This window comes from Homo sapiens, chromosome 21, assembly GCF_000001405.40.
Source record: "Homo sapiens chromosome 21, GRCh38.p14 Primary Assembly".
In the NCBI taxonomy this organism is placed as follows: domain Eukaryota; kingdom Metazoa; phylum Chordata; class Mammalia; order Primates; family Hominidae; genus Homo; species Homo sapiens.
Genome location: NC_000021.9, coordinates 25909755 through 25930765, shown reverse-complemented (window position 1 = coordinate 25930765; position 21011 = coordinate 25909755). Strand labels below are relative to the sequence as shown.

At 41.8% G+C, this 21011-nt stretch overlaps 1 protein-coding gene across 11 annotated transcripts in view, besides 2 other annotated features; it reads left to right on the top strand.

Moving 5' to 3' along the window:
• Positions 1-21011, top strand: part of APP (amyloid beta precursor protein) — a 290579-nt gene that overhangs the window by 240363 nt on the left and 29205 nt on the right. For all 11 annotated transcript variants that reach the window (NM_001136131.3, NM_001136129.3, NM_001136130.3 and 8 more), the window contains one exon: positions 18804-19025. In NM_001136131.3, coding sequence (NP_001129603.1) covers positions 18804-19025 — 222 coding nt within the window. The remainder of the gene's footprint in view (positions 1-18803; positions 19026-21011) is intronic.
• Positions 11552-12124: an enhancer, noted in NCBI's record as "H3K27ac-H3K4me1 hESC enhancer chr21:27290954-27291526 (GRCh37/hg19 assembly coordinates)". NCBI's record gives its function as "activates a minimal SCP1, AML or CMV promoter by ChIP-STARR-seq in primed H9 embryonic stem cells {active_cell/tissue: H9 hESC(primed)}" and the evidence as "EXISTENCE:reporter gene assay evidence [ECO:0000049][PMID:30033119]".
• Positions 12125-12698: an enhancer, noted in NCBI's record as "H3K27ac-H3K4me1 hESC enhancer chr21:27290380-27290953 (GRCh37/hg19 assembly coordinates)". NCBI's record gives its function as "activates a minimal SCP1, AML or CMV promoter by ChIP-STARR-seq in primed H9 embryonic stem cells {active_cell/tissue: H9 hESC(primed)}" and the evidence as "EXISTENCE:reporter gene assay evidence [ECO:0000049][PMID:30033119]".

Here is a 21011-nt window from a genome sequence, read left to right as displayed (position 1 = left end):
TTGTGTTAAAGAAAACACGAGTAGGCCACTGTGCAGAAGTGCTTACAGGGTTTGTGTGCTTTTTAAAATCTGCATAAATAAACATTTCAAATGAGCTATCATATATACAAGGATGATGTGCTGTCTGTGGGAAAAGGACCCAATCCTGTGTTGTGATTTTACATATATATATATATATAATTTGTGCTATTACACACTTGCCTGATCCCCTTATAATTATCTGCATAAGTCTTTTTAGGCTCTTTGAATGAAATTCACTATGTATGGATGTTGAAAATCATCCTTTCTACCATGAGCTCATCAGACTTGCTAACCAATTCTTTGCATCCTTTGAAGTATAAAATTCCATCAATTCAGCATGTATCAACATGAATCAATTAGAATGCACTTTCTTCACAGCATGGCGGAGTTTTTGCTGGCTGCCGGGAGGGGCACTGTTTCCCAATTCATTCATTTGCTTGGGCCCGCCCCAGGATCCTTCTTATCCCGGTCAGATAGACTTCTCTCATGAGCTTGAGAGACGGGGCTGGTCACACAGGACACGGCTTTAGGGACACGACTCACTGAAACTACAAAATGAGTGCTGCTCTTAGAGTTGTACCCACAGCCTGCACAGCTGTTATGGCAATGCTGTGGGCAAGTCTTGCTACGGCCCATTCTCCTCCCTCCCTTGTCCTGTTGGAAGGTTCAGGTTGGAGCTGAAATTCAGTCCAGCACGCAGCTGGACAAGCCATGTCTCCTGTATGTGACTCACTCCCCAGAGAAAGCATCATGTGGACTAGTAAGGGCTTGGCTTTATCAGAAGCAAAGGAGAGGTTTACATCTCTTCTTGCTCTCTCTTAGTGGGTTCAGAGCTCCAGCAGAAAAAATGGGACACTGTGGATTGATCTCCAGAAAACCCCAAAACCAGCACTGAAGGCTCCAGGAGATTATGCCTTTAGATTGTATACAGGCACCAGAATGACTTTTGCCTTTATAAAAATGCGTGCAAGAGCATGAAAACTAATATTTGAGGAATTTTTTTTTCTCACTGTACTTTCTGGTCCTCACTGAAAGCATTGGCAGTTTTAAAAAATGAAATGTGATACTGTTATAGACGTAGCAAACCTCACGTTTCATTTTTTCCAATTCATTCTATATCTAGGAACTTACTTAGAAGGAGAAACAAACTGTACCCAGAAAAAGGAATGAAACTGGAGAATTCTTCCTCATGATTCCTCTGTGTCCTCAGGCCTAATTATCCTCATTCCAAAGACTCTCCATTGCCTCAATAACTTCGAAAAATTTACTCTCCTTAAGCATAGTCATAAAAATTGCATAGTAAAGTGATAAAGAGACGAAAATAATGCTGTAAGAATAAAACCATTAAAAAAAAACCACTACTCTTGATTATTTCTGCTGTTAGAATTGTAAATGAATTCTCATTCCTTTTTTCTACATTTTTGGCATGAAATTTATGTTACTCTTATAATTAGTAAAAACATTATATTTTATTAATAAAAGAAGACTCACAGTGAAGTCATAACATATGCTGCAGAGGTTAGACTCTTCAAGTCAGATTTGAAGAGAGAATTTCACGTAACAATCACCTTGAAATGTCTTCAGGTCAGCCATCAAAGTACACATCTCTCAACCAGCCAGGCAGCCAGTTTTTCCTCCAGCATGTGAAGAGTGAAGAGATAGCTGTTTCTTGGCTTAAAGACCATATGAAATAATTGACTTATGTTTAAAAGATATGAGGGATCAGGCCGGGTGCAGTGGCTCATGCCTGTAATCCCAGCACTTTGGGAGGCCGAGGCGGGTGGATCACAAGGTTAGAAGATCGAGACCATCCCGGCCAACATGGTGAAACCCTGTCTCTACTAAAAATACAAAAACTAGCCGGGCGTAGTGATGCGCGCCTGTAATCCCAGCTACTCAGGAGGCCGAGGTTGCCATGAGCCGAGATTACGCCTCTGCAGTCCAACCTGGTGACAGAGCAAGACTCTGTCTCCAGTTAAAAAAAAAAAAAAGGCATCAAAATTACATTCACTTCTATTTTTATTTTTGTTTGTAGAAGACATGCAGTTTGTATCACATTAATGGGCATATGATGTAATTTCACTATAAATCGAACCAGAGGAAGACATCCAAATATGTATAAATTAAAGCTGACAATGCCTACAGTACTAAACTTTTTGTTTTAGTATAATTGGAGACTTAGAAAAGTTCTAAAAATATATTTAAAAATTTTTAAAGGAAGTTGCAGACATAATGGCCCTTTACACCTAAATACTTCACTGTACGTTTCCTCAAAACAAGAAGATATGTGTGTGTGTGTTTGTGTGTGTGTGTTGTAATCTTAATACAGCATCTTTCAGAGATTATTTCTGTAGTATATAAACTTGGTTTTTTTGTTTGTTTGTTTGTTTGTTTGTTTGTTTTGAGATGGAGTCTCGCTCTGTCGCCCAGGCTGGAGTGCAGTGGCACAATCTTGGCTCGCTGCAAGCTCCGCCTCCCAGGTTCACACCATTCTCCTGCCTCAGCCTCCTGAGTAGCTGGGACTACAGGCGCCTGCACCATGCCCGGCTAATTTTTGTATTTTTAGTAGAGACGCGATTTCACCTCGTTAGCCAGGATGGTGTCGATCTCCTGACCTCGTGAACCGCCCACCTCAGCCTCCCAAAATGCTGGGATTACAGGCGTGAGCCACCGCGCCTGGCCATAAAGTTGTTTTTTAGTCTCTACTTTAAGTTCCTGACAACCCAGGCAGGACCAAGACTCCCTAATGTAGTTGGAAATCAGATCAGCACATTGGCACAAGTTCTACAGGTAAACGGGAAAAAGGAGCCCTACAATCTGCTTTTAGATGCCAGGGAGCCTGGCTGGTCTTTATCTTGATTACTGACTGATGCCACTGGTAGGTCTAAGTTCTTTGATCTATGATGTTTGAAAGCCAAAAGGAAATGTGTTTTAAAGGAAAAGGGACTTCTTCTGTACCCTCAGTCTAAGCCAGACAAGTGATATTTCAGGAAAATGTCCCTAGCAATAAGGAATATTTTCACAAATGATGTGAAGCTTTGTTTGTGTCCCTTCCAGGGCAGTTTGTTACCATAAGGGGACAAAGCATGCTTCATTTAAACATGTGTGGCCAGGAAACTGTTATTTTTAAACAAAAATAAACCCCGATTTAGACATGTAGTCTGAGTTTTAACTCTGGGAGATTTTCAAGATTGATAGTGTAGCTAAAAATAACTGACCTAATTTTCTGGAGGTCAAGATAAAAACTGGATTTGTGGTACAGCATTTACTTTGTGATAATATGTGTATAAATTCTTCCCCAAGTTGGAAAATGTGGCCGCGTCATACAGGGCTGTATCTCTCTTGACCATTGAAGTGCCTAGGTCGCTACACTACAATTTGACTTAGAGTTGGTGAAACTTCTGGCCATTCACGTAGCCATCGTATTCATCCTGAGAAAGGGAAACCTAAAGACTTGGGAGAGTGTTCTGGGAGGAAAGTGCTATTGAGAATGGGCTGTCCAAGCAAAGTGACAGGCAGGCCTCACTTAGCTAGAAGAGGGAGCTTTTCAGCCCTGCTCCACCATCAGGAATCTCCGTGACCTTGGACTACTGCTTTAATCTCTTTTATCCTGGCTTCTAAAAGATACCGTCGAATTCATTCTTTTTCAAACCTATCAAAAATTTGAAATGTATGAAAAAGAGGGTGCTTGTGATGATAGATGGGTTTATGCTTCCTTTTTTTTTTTTTTTTTTTTTTTTTTGAGACGGAGTCTCACTCTGTTGCCCAGACTGGAGTGCAGTGGCGCGATCTCGGCTCACTGCAAGCTCCGCCTCCGGGGTTCACACCATTCTCCTGCCTCAGCCTCCCGAGTAGCTGGGACTACAGTGCCACCACCACATCTGGCTAATTTTTTTTGTATTTTCAGTAAAGATGGGGTTTCACCATGTTAGCCAGGATGCTCTCGATCTCCTGACCTCATGATTCCAAAGTGCTGGGATTACAGGCGTGATATGCTTCTTTAATATTAGTTTCTAATCCAAGTAATATAGCCATGTCCTCTATAAAATGGAACTTTTCATGGAACAGTGAGAAGGTTGCATTAGGAATTGGGATACTTGGGTTCAGATTTCAGTTCTGCCACTTGCTAGTTTTAAGTATACTTCTCAGGATGGATGTCAGTTTGTTCAACTGTCAGTGGGAGTAGTGATCCCACTAAGGAAGATTATTGTGGTTATCAAATCAGCAGATGGGTATGAAAAGGCCATGAGTGCAGTTCTCATGGTTATGAAGGTGTCATAACTGGCATAGTCCCATCACAGTATGGCTTTGGCATCGCAGATGGCTGTAGCATATATGCTAATCAGAACATCCCTACCGTCCTTAAAGATCTCATGGGTTCTCTCCCAAATCAGCTGCTCCACCGACCTACAAGTAAGTCCATGCTTCTTTAGTATATTTACTCACTAGTGAAGGCCCGTCTGCTAAAAGTGTCTTCAGTAGGGGAGAGCTGCTCTTTTCTGGGAAACCCAGCAATGAAGTTTGTCCTGTGATGCCCTCTACACTTACTGACCTGTTTCCTGAGAACTTCCCGTAACAAATGGTCCAGGGAAGAAGGAAGTCTGTGACCAGTCTTTCCTTTCCTGTGGCTTTCTGGTTCAGAAATGTGACCCTGATGATAAGAAACTTCAAGGCATGACTCTGGTGTTTTGGCAATATTCCCCTGGCAGTATTGTTTCTTGGCTCACACTCATCTCATGCCTTGCTTTGTTTGCTTTGTTTTTGAGAATTGTTTTTTTGTTTGTTGTTTGTTTTTGGTTTTGGCTTGTGAGACAGAGCCTTGCTCTGTTGCCCAGGATGGCGTGCAGTTGGCACAATCTCGGCTCACTGCAGCCTCCACCTCCCGGGTTCAAGCAATTCTCCTGCCTCAGCCTCCTGAATAATGGGGATTACAGGCACACACCACCGTGCCTGGCTAATTTTTGTATTTTTTTAGTAGAGACGGGTTTCACCATGTTGGCCAGGCTGGTCTTGAACTCCTGACCTCAAGTGAACCACCCACCTCGGCCTCCCAAAGTGCTGGGGTTACAGGCGTGAGCCACCACGCCCAGCCATTATGTTTGTTTTTCTTTCATGAAGGGATAACCGAGGCTGTTGTGTGGTGGTGTCTTGGTACAGCTCGTGGCTGTGGTCAGTGTGGTGGAGGGTAGGTCTTCTCAGATGGTAACATGCATGAGAGTCACCTGGGGATCACATTAACATGCAGATTCTGATTCCCTGGATCTGGGTGGGACCTGAGGTTCTGCATGTCTAACAAACTCCCAGAGAACACCCATGTAGCAAGAGTACAGACAAAAGGATTCAAAGCGAAGGGACTGCAAGAACCATGGAACCAGCCTCCCACGATTTTGCGGATGACGAACCCGAGCCTTGGGGAGTTTCAGAGGCCATGGAGAGATGAAGTATAATAAACAGCATAGCAGTTGTATGTTGAGCCAAGAATCAGACATGCACAGAACTGCTGATTGGAAAATTAAATCTGTTTCTCATAGCCCTGGTGTGGCAAAATGCCTAGCTGGAAGTGGGTGACCGCTTGATTTACAGTGGGCCTCCTGGGTAGGGAAAATTAGTCCATCCCATTTACAGCTACTTCCAATGCAGCTGTGTCAGGGGAGAGAGAAGAAAGGACATGGAAGAGAGCGTAGAGGTATGATCTTCAGTCCTTTCAGGCAGGCACATAAGTAAATTTTTATTTAAAAGATAAGAATTGGTCATATGCGAATCTCCTGTTAGATAAGATTAAAAACAAATTTCCATTTTGTGGAGAAGTTGCAGATAAATATTTTTCCATGGGATCCAAAAGAATCAAAAAGGAAAGAAAATAGTAATAGCAGTGGAGGTTCGATCCTAGACAGAAGAAAATCCAGCAAGCCGAGGGACTTCATATTCTCACTGGTGTCCAAATCAGAGCTTTTTTTTTTTTTCTTTGTTTACTTTAAGTTCTGGGATACATGTGCTGAGCATGCAGGTTTGTTACATAGGTATACATGTGCCTTGGTGGTTTGCTGCACCCATCAACCCGTCATCTAGGTTTTAACTCCGCATGCATTAGGTATTTGTCCTAATGCTCTCCCTCCCCTTTCACCCCACCCCTGGACAGGCCCTGGTGTATGATGTCCCCCTCCCTGTGTCCATGTGTTCTCATTGTTCAGCTCCCACTTATGAGTGAGAACATGAGTGTTTGGGTTTCTGGTCCTATGTTAGTTTGCTGAGGATGATGGCCTCCAGCTTCATCCATGGCCCTGCAAAGGACATGAACTCAACCTTTTTTTTTTTCCTTTTTTTTTTTTTTTTGTATTTGCAAATTCAAATCTTTTTTTTTTTTTATTATACTTTAAGTTTTAGGGTACATGTGACATTGTGCAGCTTAGTTACATATGTATACATGTGCCATGCTGGCGCTGCACCCACTAACTCGTCATCTAGCATTAGGTATATCTCCCAATGCTATCCCTCCCCCCTCCCCCCACCCCACCACAGTCCCCAGAGTGTGATATTCCCCTTCCTGTGTCCATGTGATCTCCATTGTTCAATTCCCACCTATGAGTGAGAATATGCGGTGTTTGGTTTTTTGTTCTTGCGATAGTTTACTGAGAATGATGGTTTCCAGTTTCATCCATGTCCCTACAAAGGACATGAACTCATCATTTTTTATGGCTGCATAGTATTCCATGGTGTATATGTGCCACATTTTCTTAATCCAGTCTATCATTGTTGGACATTTGGGTTGGTTCCAAGTCTTTGCTATTGTGAATAATGCCGCAATAAACATACGTGTGCATGTGTCTTTATAGCAGCATGATTTATAGTCCTTTGGGTATATACCCAGTAATGGGATGGCTGGGTCAAATGGTATTTCTAGTTCTAGATCCCTGAGGAATTGCGACACTGACTTCCACAATGGTTGAACTAGTTTACAGTCCCACCAACAGTGTAAAAGTGTTCCTATTTCTCCACATCCTCTCCAGCACCTGTTGTTTCCTGACTTTTTAATGATCGCCATTCTAACTGGTGTGAGATGATATCTCATAGTGGTTTTGATTTGCATTTCTCTGATGGCCAGTGATGGTGAGCATTTTTTCATGTGTTTTTTGGCTGCATAAATGTCTTCTTTTGAGAAGTGTCTGTTCATGTCCTTTGCCCACTTTTTGATGGGGTTGTTTGTTTTTTTCTTGTAAATTTGTTTGAGTTCATTGTAGATTCTGGATATTAGCCCTTTGTCAGATGAGTAGGTTGCGAAAATTTTCTCCCATGTTGTAGGTTGCCTGTTCACTCTGATGGTAGTTTCTTTTGCTGTGCAGAAGCTCTTTAGTTTAATTAGATCCCATTTGTCCATTTTGGCTTTTGTTGCCATTGCTTTTGGTGTTTTGGACGTGAAGTCCTTGCCCACGCCTATGTCCTGAATGGTAATGCCTAGGTTTTCTTCTAGGGTTTTTATGGTTTTAGGTCTAACGTTTAAATCTTTAATCCATCTTGAATTGATTTTTGTATAAGGTGTAAGGAAGGGATCCAGTTTCAGCTTTCTACATATGGCTAGCCAGTTTTCCCAGCACCATTTATTAAATAGGGAATCCTTTCCCCATTGCTTGTTTTTCTCAGGTTTGTCAAAGATCAGATAGTTGTAGGTATGCGGCGTTATTTCTGAGGGCTCTGTTCTGTTCCATTGATCTATATCTCTGTTTTGGTACCAGTACCATGCTGTTTCGGTTACTGTAGCCTTGTAGTATAGTTTGAAGTCAGGTAGTGTGATGCCTCCAGCTTCGTTCTTTTGGCTTAGGATTGACTTGGCGATGCGGGCTCTTTTTTGGTTCCATATGAACTTTAAAGTAGTTTTTTCCAATTCTGTGAAGAAAGTCATTGGTAGCTTGATGGGGATGGCATTGAATCTGTAAATTACCTTGGGCAGTATGGCCATTTTCACGATATTGATTCTTCCTACCCATGAGCATGGAATGTTCTTCCATTTGTTTGTGTCCTCTTTTATTTCCTTGAGCAGTTGGTTTGTAGTTCTCCTTTAAGAGGTCCTTCACATCCCTTGTAAGTTGGATTCCTAGGTATTTTATTCTCTTTGAAGCAATTGTGAATGGGAGTTCACTCATGATTTGGCTCTCTGTTTGTCTGTTGTTGGTGTATAAGAATGCTTGTGATTTTTGTACATTGATTTTGTATCCTGAGACTTTGCTGAAGTTGCGTATCAGCTTAAGGAGATTTTGGGCTGAGACAATGGGGTTTTCTAGATAAACAATCATGTCGTCTGCAAACAGGGACAATTTGACTTCCTCTTTTCCTAATTGAATACCTTTTATTTCCTTCTCCTGCCTGATTGCCCTGGCCAGAACTTCCAACACTATGTTGAATAGGAGCGGTGAGAGAGGGCATCCCTGTCTTGTGCCAGTTTTCAAAGGGAATGCTTCCAGTTTTTGCCCATTCAGTATGATATTGGCTGTGGGTTTGTCATAGATAGCTCTTATTATTTTGAAATACGTCCCATCAATACCTAATTTATTGAGAGTTTTTAGCATGAAGGGTTGTTGAATTTTGTCAAAGGCTTTTTCTGCATCTATTGAGATAATCATGTGGTTTTTGTCTTTGGCTCTGTTTATATGCTGGATTACCTTTATTGATTTGCGTATATTGAACCAAGCCTTGCATCCCAGGGATGAAGCCCACTTGATCATGGTGGATAAGCTTTTTGATGTGCTGCTGGATTCGGTTTGCCAGTATTTTATTGAGGATTTTTGCATCAATGTTCATCAAGGATATTGGTCTAAAATTCTCTTTTTTTGGTTGTGTCTCTGCCCGGCTTTGGTATCAGAATGATGCTGGCCTCATAAAATGAGTTAGGGAGGATTCCCTCTTTTTCTATTGATTGGAATAGTTTCAGAAGGAATGGTACCAGTTCCTCCTTGTACCTCTGGTAGAATTCGGCTGTGAACCATCTGGTCCTGGACTCTTTTTGGTTGGTAAACTATTGATTATTGCCACAATTTCAGCTCCTGTTATTGGTCTATTCAGAGATTCAACTTCTTCCTGGTTTAGTCTTGGGAGAGTGTATGTGTCGAGGAATGTATCCATTTCTTCTAGATTTTCTAGTTTATTTGTGTAGAGGTTTTTGTAGTATTCTCTGATGGTAGTTTGTATTTCTGTGGGATCGGTGGTGATATCCCCTTTATCATTTTTTATCGTGTCTATTTGATTCTCCTCTTTTTCTTTATTAGTCTTGCTAGCGGTCTATCAATTTTGTTGATCCTTTCAAAAAACCAGCTCCTGGATTCATTGATTTTTTTGAAGGGTTTTTTGTGTCTCTATTTCCTTCAGTTCTGCTCTGATTTTAGTTATTTCTTGCCTTCTGCTAGCTTTTGAATGTGTTTGCTCTTGCTTTTCTAGTTCTTTTAATTGTGATGTTAGGGTGTCAATTTTGGATCTTTCCTGCTTTCTCTTGTGGGCATTTAGTGCTATAAATTTCCCTCTACACACTGCTTTGAATGCGTCCCAGAGATTCTGGTATGTTGTGTCTTTGTTCTCGTTGGTTTCAAAGAACATCTTTATTTCTGCCTTCATTTCGTTATGTACCCAGTAGTCATTCAGGAGCAGGTTGTTCAGTTTCCATGTAGTTGAGCGGCTTTGAGTGAGATTATTAATCCTGAGTTCTAGTTTGATTGCACTGTGGTCGGAGAGATAGTTTGTTATAATTTCTGTTCTTTTACATTTGCTGAGGAGAGTTTTACTTCCAACTATGTGGTCAATTTTGGAATAGGTGTGGTGTGGTGCTGAAAAAAATGTATATTCTGTTGATTTGGGGTGGAGAGTTCTGTAGATGTCTATTAGGTCCGCTTGGTGCAGAGCTGAGTTCAATTCCTGGGTATCCTTGTTGACTTTCTGTCTCGTTGATCTGTCTAATGTTGACAGTGGGGTGTTAAAGTCTCCCATTATTAATGTGTGGGAGTCTAAGTCTCTTTGTAGGTCACTCAGGACTTGCTTTATGAATCTGGGTGCTCCTGTATTGGGTGCATATATGTTTAGGATAGTTAGCTCCTCTTGTTGAATTGATCCCTTTACCATTATGTAATGGCCTTCTTTGTCTCTTTTGATCTTTGTTGGTTTAACGTCTGTTTTATCAGAGACTAGGATTGCAACCCCTGCCTTTTTTTGTTTTCCATTTGCTTGGTAGATCTTCCTCCATCCTTTTATTTTGAGCCTGTGTGTGTCTCTGCACATGAGATGGGTTTCCTGAATACAGCACACTGATGGGTCTTGACTCTTTATCCAACTTGCCAGTCTGTGTCTTTTAATTGCAGAATTTAGTCCATTTACATTTAAAGTTAATACTGTTATGTGTGAATTTGATCCTGTCATTATGATGTTAGCTGGTGATTTTGCTCATTAGTTGATGCAGTTTCTTCCTAGTCTTGATGGTCTTTACATTTTGGCATGATTTTGCAGCGGCTGGTACCGGTTGTTCCTTTGCATGTTTAGTGCTTCCTTCAGGAGCTCTTTTAGGGCAGGCCTGGTGGTGACAAAATCTCTCAGCATTTGCTTGTCTGTAAAGTATTTTATTTCTCCTTCACTTATGAAGCTTAGTTTGGCTGGATATGAAATTCTGGGTTGAAAATTCTTTTCTTTAAGAATGTTGAATATTGGCCCCCACTCTCTTCTGGCTTGTAGGGTTTCTGCCGAGAGATCCGCTGTTAGTCTGATGGGCTTCCCTTTGAGGGTAACCCGACCTTTCTCTCTGGCTGCCCTTAACATTTTTTCCTTCATTTCAACTTTGGTGAATCTGACAATTACGTGTCTTGGAGTTGCTCTTCTCGAGGAGTATCTTTGTGGCGTTCTCTGTATTTCCTGAATCTGAACGTTGGCCTGCCTTGCTAGATTGGGGAAGTTCTCCTGGATAATATCCTGCAGAGTGTTTTCCAACTTGGTTCCATTCTCCGCATCACTTTCAGGTACACCAATCAGACGTAGATTTGGTCTTTTCACATAGTCCCATATTTCTTGGAGGCTTTGCTCATTTCTTTTTATTCGTTTTTCTCTAAACTTCCCTTCTCGCTTCATTTCATTCATTTCATCTTCCATTGCTGATACCCTTTCTTCCAGTTGATCGCATCGGCTCCTGAGGCTTCTGCATTCTTCACGTAGTTCTCGAGCCTTGGTTTTCAGCTCCATCAGCTCCTTTAAGCACTTCTCTGTATTGGTTATTCTAGTTATACATTCTTCTAAATTTTTTTCAAAGTTTTCAACTTCTTTGCCTTTGGTTTGAATGTCCTCCCGTAGCTCAGAGTAATTTGATCGTCTGAAGCCTTCTTCTCTCAGCTCGTCAAAATCATTCTCCATCCAGCTTTGTTCCGTTGCTGGTGAGGAACTGCGTTCTTTGGAGGAGGAGAGGCACTCTGCGTTTTAGAGTTTCCAGTTTTTCTGTTCTGTTTTTTCCCCATCTTTGTGGTTTTATCTACTTTTGGTCTTTGATGATGGTGATGTACAGATGGGTTTTCGGTGTGGATGTCCTTTCTGTTTGTTAGTTTTCCTTCTAACAGACAGGACCCTCAGCTGCAGGTCTGTTGGAATACCCTGCAGTGTGAGGTGTCAGTGTGCCCCTGCTGGGGGTGCCTCCCAGTTAGGCTGCTCGGGGGTCAGGGGTCAGGGACCACTTGAGGAGGCAGTCTGCCGTTCTCAGATCTCCAGCTGCGTGCTGGGAGAACCACTGCTCTCTTCAAAGCTGTCAGACAGGGACATTTAAGTCTGCAGAGGTTACTGCTGTCTTTTTGTTTGTCTGTGCCCTGCCCCCAGAGGTGGAGCCTACAGAGGCAAGCAGGCCTCCTTGAGCTGTGGTGGGCTCCACCCAGTTCGAGCTTCCCGGCTGCTTTGTTTACCTAAGCAAGCCTGGGCAATGGCGGGCTCCCCTCCCCCAGCCTCGCTGCCGCCTTGCAGTTTGATCTCAGACTGCTGTGCTAGCAATCAGCGCGATTCCGTGGGCGTAGGACCCTCCGAGCCAGGTGTGGGATATAGTCTCGTGGTGCGCCGTTTCTTAAGCCGGTCTGAAAAGCGCAATATTCGGGTGGGAGTGACCCGATTTTCCAGGTGCGTCTGTCACCCCTTTCTTTGACTCAGAAAGGGAACTCCCTGACCCCTTGCGCTTCCCAGGTGAGGCAATGCCTCGCCCTGCTTCGGCTCGCGCACGGTGCACGCACCCACTGGCCTGCGCCCACTGTCTGGCACTCCCTAGTGAGATGAACCCGGTATCTCAGATGGAAATGCGGAAATCACCCGTCTTCTGCGTCGCTCACGCTGGGAGCTGTAGACCGGAGCTGTTCCTATTCGGCCATCTTGGCTCCCACCTCCCGAACTCATCCTTTTTTATGGCTGCATAGTATTCCATGGTGTATATGTGCCACATTTTCTTTATCCAGTCTATCGTTGATGGACATTTTGGTTGGTTCCAAGTCTTTGCTATTGTAAATAGTGCTACAGTAAACATATGTGTGCATGTGTCTTTACAGTAGAATGATTTATAATCCTTTGGGTATATTCCCAGTAATGGGATTGCTGGGTCAAATGGTATTTCTAGTTCTATATCCTTGCAGAATCTCCTCACTGTCTTCCACAACGGTTGAACTAACACTCTCACCAACAGTGTAAAAGCGTGCCTATTTCTCCGCATCCTCGCCAGCATCTGTTGTTGCCAGACTTTTTAATGATCACCATCCCAACTGGTGTGAGATGGTATCTCATTGTGGTTTTGATTTGCATTTCTCTAATGACCAGTGATGATGAGCTTTTTTTTTTTTTTTCATATGTTTGTTGGCCACATACATGTCTTGTTTTGAGAAGTGTCTGTTCATATCCTTTGCCCACTTTTTGATGGGGTTGTTTTTCTTTTTTTTCTGGTAAATTTGTTTAAGTTCCTTGTAGATTCTGGATATTAGACCTTTGTCAGATGGATAGATTCAGATCAGAGCTTTAACAGCCAGACTTTACAGGGAAAAGGCTGAGTGGCACCTCCTTTATATGAAGAAAATGTTCTTCTCCAACCCACTTGTGTTCAGTGGATGGAAGAAGCTGTTCAGTAATTATAACTGACACTTGTAACACATAACTGATTGATTTAATGCCCATAAATTTTATTTTCTTTAATCGTAAGATGTGACCGTTAAATTCTTAGAAGACATTTGGCTAGTGGATTAATAATTAAAAGAATATTGGATGAATTCATCTGCTTCCTATTCAGCAGTTCTTTTATTTATAAGGCTATTTTTCTCAAAATGAATGATCATGAATATCTAAGAAAAAACAAAATATTTAGCTGTTTGAAGATGAAATTATTATCTTTTGATGTTGTTTTCTTTAAAGTGTTTACAATGATAACTAAGTGGTAGGGCTTCTTCCCTCTGTTACTCTAAGTATGCCTCGTATACATCCTCAAAGCATTTTTTTTTTTTTTTTTTTTGGAGACAGAGTCTTACTCGGTTGCCTAGGCTGGAGTGCAGTGGCATGATCTCAGCTCACTGCAACCTCTGTCTCCCAGGTTTAAGCAATTCTCCCGCCTTAGCCTCCCAAGTAGGTGGGATTACAGGCGTCCGCCACCATGCACGGCTAATTTTTGTATTTTTAGTAGAGACGGGGTTTCACCAAGTTAGCCAGGCTGCTCTTGAACTCCTGACCTCGTGATCCACCCACCTCGGCCTCCCAAAGTGCTAGATTACAGACGTGAGCCACCACGCCTGGCCACCTCGAAGCATTTGTAAAAGAGCAAGGTGATGGGGTTCATTAGGTGTTTGGTATTTGAAATTAAATACCTCTGTTATTGATGAAGCCATATTTTAAATATTATCACCACTAAACTCAGTTAAATATTTCCACTGTTAACTACAAGGTTCAAATGCTTGGATATTATAGAAGATATTTGACTTCAAAGATAAACGCTACAATTTTGGGTCATAACAAATAGCTTTTAGAAGGGGAAAAAATAAGTCTTGGGAGGAAAATAAGCAGTCTCTTAGTTTAATATAGCGGTTGGCAAATATAGATGCTTAAAAGTTCTGAAAATCCCCATTGCAGGCCATCAGAGTGTTGTAATTAAGTATTAAATTAATTCAGATAAAAGGATAATCCATCAGGGCCACTAATGTAGTGGAAGTGTGGTTTCGGTGTGATTAGTCTCACCATGGAAGTCAAAGAAAGTCCCACTCAGAATGAACAATGAAAGAATCATATTTGTCTCTGGGTATTTTGTCATAGGCTCAATTGCCCAGTGCCAGTGTGTAAGCCACTGGTAAAATCCTGAGCCCTTAGTCATGTCTACAGGTAGCTGGCTGCCTTAGACATTTTATGATGACGAAATTGAATTCCACTTCTGATAATGGTAATCCATCATGTCTACCTCTTTTTTTCTCTTAAAACTACACTGACGGCCAGGCGCAGTGGCTCCCGCCTCATCCCAGCACTTTGGGAGGCCAAGGCAGGCAGATCGCCTGAGGTCAGGAGTTTGAGACCAGCCTGGCCAACATGGAGAAACTCTGTCTCTACTAAAAACATAAAAACTATCCGGTCATGGTAGTGTGTGCCTGTAATCACAGTACTCGGGACTGAGGCAGGAGAATCGCTTGAACCCAGGAGGCAGAGGTTCGTTGTTCTGAATGACATAGCCAGGGGTGGTTATTTCTAAATTTTCTGTGTTGAATTAAGATAGGAATGTGGATTTCTTCCTATTTTGAACAACGACCAAAAAAAAAAAACGAAGGCTAAGTGTGTTTCACTCTGCTAAAAATGTACCTTTTCTTGAATCTGTCACTTTTTCACTTACATTTTCTGAAAATGAATATAATTAACCACCATGGGGCTCAGCATGCTGGTGGCCATTTGGAGGAACTTTTCTACCAACAGTGTAACAGAGAAAAGAGAAAAGGGTACTACAGCGTACCTCAACCTCCCCTGACTGTTCTGTGAAGTACAAGTGTAAGATTTCTCACTGTGATCTTTTGCTCCTCTGCCTTTTTACTGCCAAGGGCTAAGATGGGCACAGGGCCCTTTCCAGCTGCCCCTGCCTGAGAAATGCTTATTTGATGACCAAAAGCAATAACCATTCCATAGGACTAACGGTGATTAAGTCAGCTTACAAATCCACAAGGGTGGAAGAGACTGCTAAAGATATTGGAACAGACATGCTTAATAATGCCTAATTTCTACAGCTACTTTTGTGATAATACGAGAGGCTGAAATAGATAGGGGCTGAACATGGGAAGGCTGGTGTTATGAAGCCCAGGACTTGGATTTCAGCACTGGTGCTTACTGGCCATTGGGTCTTGAAGAGATTGGTTCCTTTCTCCCAGCCTCAGTCTCCTTGTCCCATCAGATTAATAATGCCTGCCTTGGGAGAGGAGAGTCATACAGGAGAGGGCATTTGAGCTGGGCTCTAAAGAGTTCAAATAACGTAGATGAGCAGAGATGGGCTTCCAAGATAGCAGGAATAGAAAACAAAAGTGTCAGAATGGGTATGCATGGTCTTTTGTGGGAATACCCCAAGCTATTTAGCCTGAGAGAGAGGTGTGGTGTAGACAGCTGGAGCTGTGAGTTCCATGGCTAGAAATACGGGGTGGGCCCAGACCACAGAGGGCCTTCAGCATCTGGCAAAGGAGTTGGAATTAATTCGGTAGAAAATGAAGACCCACTGAAACAAAGAGGGAGCCATTCTTGTGTGTCAGGAACTAAGATTTCAGGAACCAAACGTAAAATAAAAACCAGCAGGGAGACCATTGTCTCAGTCGGTTTGTGCTGTTATCATGATACCAGAGACTGGGTAATTTATAAACAAACAATAGAAATACTACAATTCTGGAGGCTGAGAAGCCCAGGATCAAGCCGGGTGCAGTGGCTCACGCCTGTAATCCCAGCACTTTGGGAAGCCGAGGCGGGCGGATCACGAAGTCAGGAGATGGAGACCATCCTGGCTAACACGGTGAAACCCCGTCTCTACTAAAACTACAAAAAATTAGCCGGGCGTGGTGGCGGGCGCCTGTAGTCCCAGCTACTCGGGAGGCTGAGGCAGGAGAATGGCGTCAACCCGGGAGGCGGAGCTTGCAGTGAGCCGAGATTGCGCCACTGCACTCCAGCCTGGGCGACAGAGCAAGACTCCGTCTCAAAAAAAAAAAAAAAAAAAAAAGGCGCCTTGTGGCTGCATCCTCCAGAGGCAGCAAAAACTGTTCTCACATGGCAGATGCACATAAAGGGGCCTGTGCTGGTTTCCTCTAGCCCTTTTAGAAGGCAGTAGTCCATTCGGGGGCACGGGGTGGAACTGTCATGACTTGATTTCCAGAAGACCCCATCTCTCACTACTACCACAGTGGAGATTTAAGTTTCAACACATGACTTTGGGGGACATTCAGACCATAGCAAGCAGTGAGGAGACTATCGTAATTATCCAGGCGAAAAGTAATCATATTCCTAGGGGCGGTGAGGGTGGTGTGGAAAAGCAAGCAGGAAATGGCTGAGAGAATTCAGAAATAGAATGCAAAAGGATTTGTCGGTAGTGTGAGTACTGGACACGAAGAAATACAGGGAGTCCTGGATGGCTCTGAAGGATTCAAGCCTGTGACTGGGAGGGAGAATGGTTCTGCCATGATTAGAAAACAGGAAAGGTGGAAGGGAAAGCCAGGGACCTTGAGTACAGTTGTGTACCTACCAAGTGCATGGATCAGGAGGGAGCCCTAAGTTGGTATCTCCAGCAAACTGTTGGAAATATACAAATTTGAGTGGGAGGGAGAAGTCAAAGCTGGGGAAGTACATTTCAGATTCACCCAAAGGTAGGAGATCTTTAGAGTTTCAAGAGTCGATGGGATTTCCAAAGGGGAGAATTGTAGAAAGAGATGGAAAGAGATACAAGAAGAAAATGACAGGGATGAAGAGAGGAGAAAAAAAGAGTAAAAAGAGTTATTCAGAGATGTCACAGGGAAGAAGATAAGTACTGTGTATGCGAAACAGTGAGAACATTTCCAAATAAAGGACATGGTAAGTGATAGTAGATACCACAGACCCAAGAACAGCGTAGCCCCTGGGGAGTTCAAGAGCTTTCTCGCTGGCAAAGGTTATTTCCTGTCAAGATGAATGTGTATGCACCAATAATTATTAGTATTCCAGAATATCCTCTCTTTAGCATAGTAAGTGCTTAACAGTCACAAGCAAAAGATTTATATAAAAGAAATGCTCATTTAATTTATTTAATCAGACATTGGCTAAGTTATTAGCCGCTACCTATGGCTTTGTAAAACATGAAAAAGTTGGAGGAAATCTAATGAGGGTCTTTTATCTGTAAGGGAAAGGTCATCATGGGCATCAAGTATTGAATTTTAGAAACGGTGCCACAGTGAATAGGGATATATTATAACTCAGATTAGACTTCAAAAGGACTAATTTGCTTGGGACTTCCATCATTTAAAATCACTTGCAATAAAACTGACTACATGAAAAGATATTAATCACAAGCTTTAATGCTATTCCATCAAATTATTTTAATGGGTATATTTGAACAGAATTTTAATTTTTCAGATACATTTTTTGTCAATAGAAAAGAGAATTTGAAAGATGATTGTAAAATGTTACAAATCAAATTTAAATCCTGATCTTATTTTCATTTTCTCTAGCAATAAAACTAACCAGTGATGTGTCTGAAATATATACTACAGCAAACTCTTGACACAGCTATGATTGGAAAATGAGACATTTTGGTTAATCAAATATTATTGTTAATAGTGCAGTGCTGTCTGTCGGTCTCTAATTTGTAAAAATCAGAGAAAAACATGGTGAATCTTTGGTGACATAAGAGAAGACTCACAAATCTTCATATCCTGGGGTCAGTTTTTAAAGCAGTAATTACACATGATACAAGATTATATTCTAAGCTCTCTTTTTCCAGTAAGAAAAGATAAGTCAATGATGTTCCATAAAGCTGATTCTTGTTTAATCAATTTTTAAAGTGGGGGGGTAGGCGGCACTGACAGCATTCTTTGGAAAGGGAAGCAACAGAGGAGAAAGGCAGGATATTTGGTGTCTGCTCACATTGGGAAATACGGGGAGCCAGGGGTGGTTAAGTCCAGAGAAGGCTGGATGTCTGTCTGCAGGGCTACATCTGGAAGGGCAAGGGAACAGTTTCCTTGTTGCCTCAGAGCATAGGTCATGCAGCACAAGAGGAGCATTTAGGAAATGCAGATTTTTTTTCAAGGCAAGACAGTGAAAACTATTCAAGAAGGTAGCAAACTACTGGCCCTTTAATGCTTTTCTTATCCTTGCAAGTGTGCAAGGCAAGACAGGAGATTGTCTGTTGTCTTTCAGCTTGAATGAGATTGTGCCTCACTTACTGCCGCCACACCAAAGCCTGGCGTTTATTCCTGTGCGATCATTGTATACTAGGGACGTCTAACTGTGTCAGGAGGAAATGGCAGCTGAGCCCCTGTGGCCTTTCACCTCTAGCAGTGCCACGCTGCAGCACATTGGCCGGCTGCCATGCTCCTGCCTGCAGTCCTGCCAGCAGCTCTTGTGAGCTGCGACTTTGCATAAGTAGCTTGAATGCCATGTGCCTCAGTTTTCACATCTGTAAAAGGGAGATGATAATGGTACCTATGTCATGGCTCTAAACGCGATCATGCACGTGAAAGCAGTTGAAGTCTTGCCTGGCAGAAGTAAATGGTGGCTGCTGCTGCTGCTGCTGTTGTGATTGTTGTTACTCACCAAAGAGATGGTTTTGTTTGGTTTAGATGAGCTGCTTCAGAAAGAGCAAAACTATTCAGATGACGTCTTGGCCAACATGATTAGTGAACCAAGGATCAGTTACGGAAACGATGCTCTCATGCCATCTTTGACCGAAACGAAAACCACCGTGGAGCTCCTTCCCGTGAATGGAGAGTTCAGCCTGGACGATCTCCAGCCGTGGCATTCTTTTGGGGCTGACTCTGTGCCAGCCAACACAGAAAACGAAGGTAAGAGTCCCCTGAGCCAGCAAGGGCGTTCTGGGAGGTATATATACACATACATAACGTGTGTGCAAGAGAGAGAGTTATCTTTTGTATGTTCTTGAGTGGTGAATTTTTTTTGATGTAGTCATAAATATTTTCATTATAATTTTACTTTAAAAAGTAAATACTAGGAGTTACTATGTCATTAAAATAATATATCTGTGTAAATTATTCTTTATATTTTTTATGCTGCAAAGCATGTAAACTGCCAATTGTTGGAAAAGACAACAACTCCATTGTATAGGTGGCAAAACAAAATGGTAATGATTTACATAACATTTGCAGGTAAAGGGCCTCTTGTTTCGCACATGTCCAGGTTTGCATTCTAGGGAATATTATCCTTCGAGTGAACACTCCCGGACGAAGGGGAGCCACAGTGTATTATTGAAGAGGCAGTTCTTCACAAGGAAAATGTGTGGCAATAACATTCTTCTAATTTTTATTTTCCAGTTCCTCTTCTTAATATAAAATGGTACATTATATAACAAAAGTGGATACATAAAGAGCATGTACTGTATATCATATTATTATGTTTATGACTTTTTCAAATGAGGAAATGGAGGCACCAGGAGACTAAGTTCTTAAGTGATGACTTTTGGTAGGAATTTTTTAGAAATGTTTTTTAACTGTGAGGTATATTGTTCCCTCTGGAATGGAAGCACAAAATTCAACTTGTGTTTATGACGTAATGACCTAGAATGCCACCTTCCAAAAAAGCAGATAGATAGTGAAATAAGGAAAAATTACAGTTTACCAACAGAGAGGAGTTTTGAGGGCCTGCAGAGATGCAGATTTGACAGGCACCAAAGTAGTCTTCACTGGCTACTTATTCTTACATGAAATTTCAGATTGAATTAAATGTTAAAGGCAAAGATAGAGAACTACATATAAATAAAATTTAATTTTGCTTAAGACTTAATTTGTGTTTAGAAAATTAAATTTAAGGCAGCTGCCAAAATTAAGGAGCACATTGCTCTAAATGTTTTTTCCTTTGGTACCTCAGAGAAGTAAGATTCTTCTCTATCAACAAATTTGAGCAGTAGATGGCATCCTTTTTCACAGGGATTTCTTAGCAGAAACACCTGTTCAGGCAAGAATATCTTTCAGCTTCTTTTATCTTTTTCTACATGTTCAGAAGTATACAATTACACACAAACACCTTGATTTCTAGATACAAATAACATGTTTTTTAAGAACACAACAGCACTTTACCTGATTTTCTTTATCAAAGCAGCAAATGTTGATGGAGATTTCATATTTATAATATACCTTATAGGCCAGGCATCGTGGGTCACGCCTGTAATCGCAGGACTTAGGGAGGCTGAGGTGGGCAGATCGCAAGGTCAGGAGATCGAGACCATCCTGGCTAACATGGTGAAACCCCGTCTGTACTAAAAATACAAAAAAAAGTTAGCCGGGCGTGGTGGCGGGCACCTGTAGTCCCAGCTACTCGGGAGGCTGAGGCAGGAGAATGGCATGAACCCGGGAGGCGGACGTGGCCAGTGAGCTGAGATCACACCACTGCACTCCAGCCTGGGTGACAGAGCGAGACTTTAAATTTAAAAAAAATAAATAAATAAAGTAAAAAATATATATACCTTATAACATGCAATTAGTACTAAATCTAAATATAATATTAGACCTTAAGTGTACTGGACAAGTTTTTTCTAAAGAACCATTGCAGAAAATATATAGACTATTTTCACAATGTGAATCATCACCCCAAATTTGTTTCCTTAATTTGAAAAAGGGCACCTTACAGTAATAGCAAACAGCATGTTACTGACAATGTAAAAATAATTAAAACTTTACCATTTATGAAAATAATTCTTAATCACATAGAAGAAAACAATTTTAGGGACAGTTCATTATCAAAGACCTGGAAAACTGTCCTGTTAAATGTATTGAGTGCAGATTGTTTTGTTTCTTTACAGGTAGATAGATTTTGGT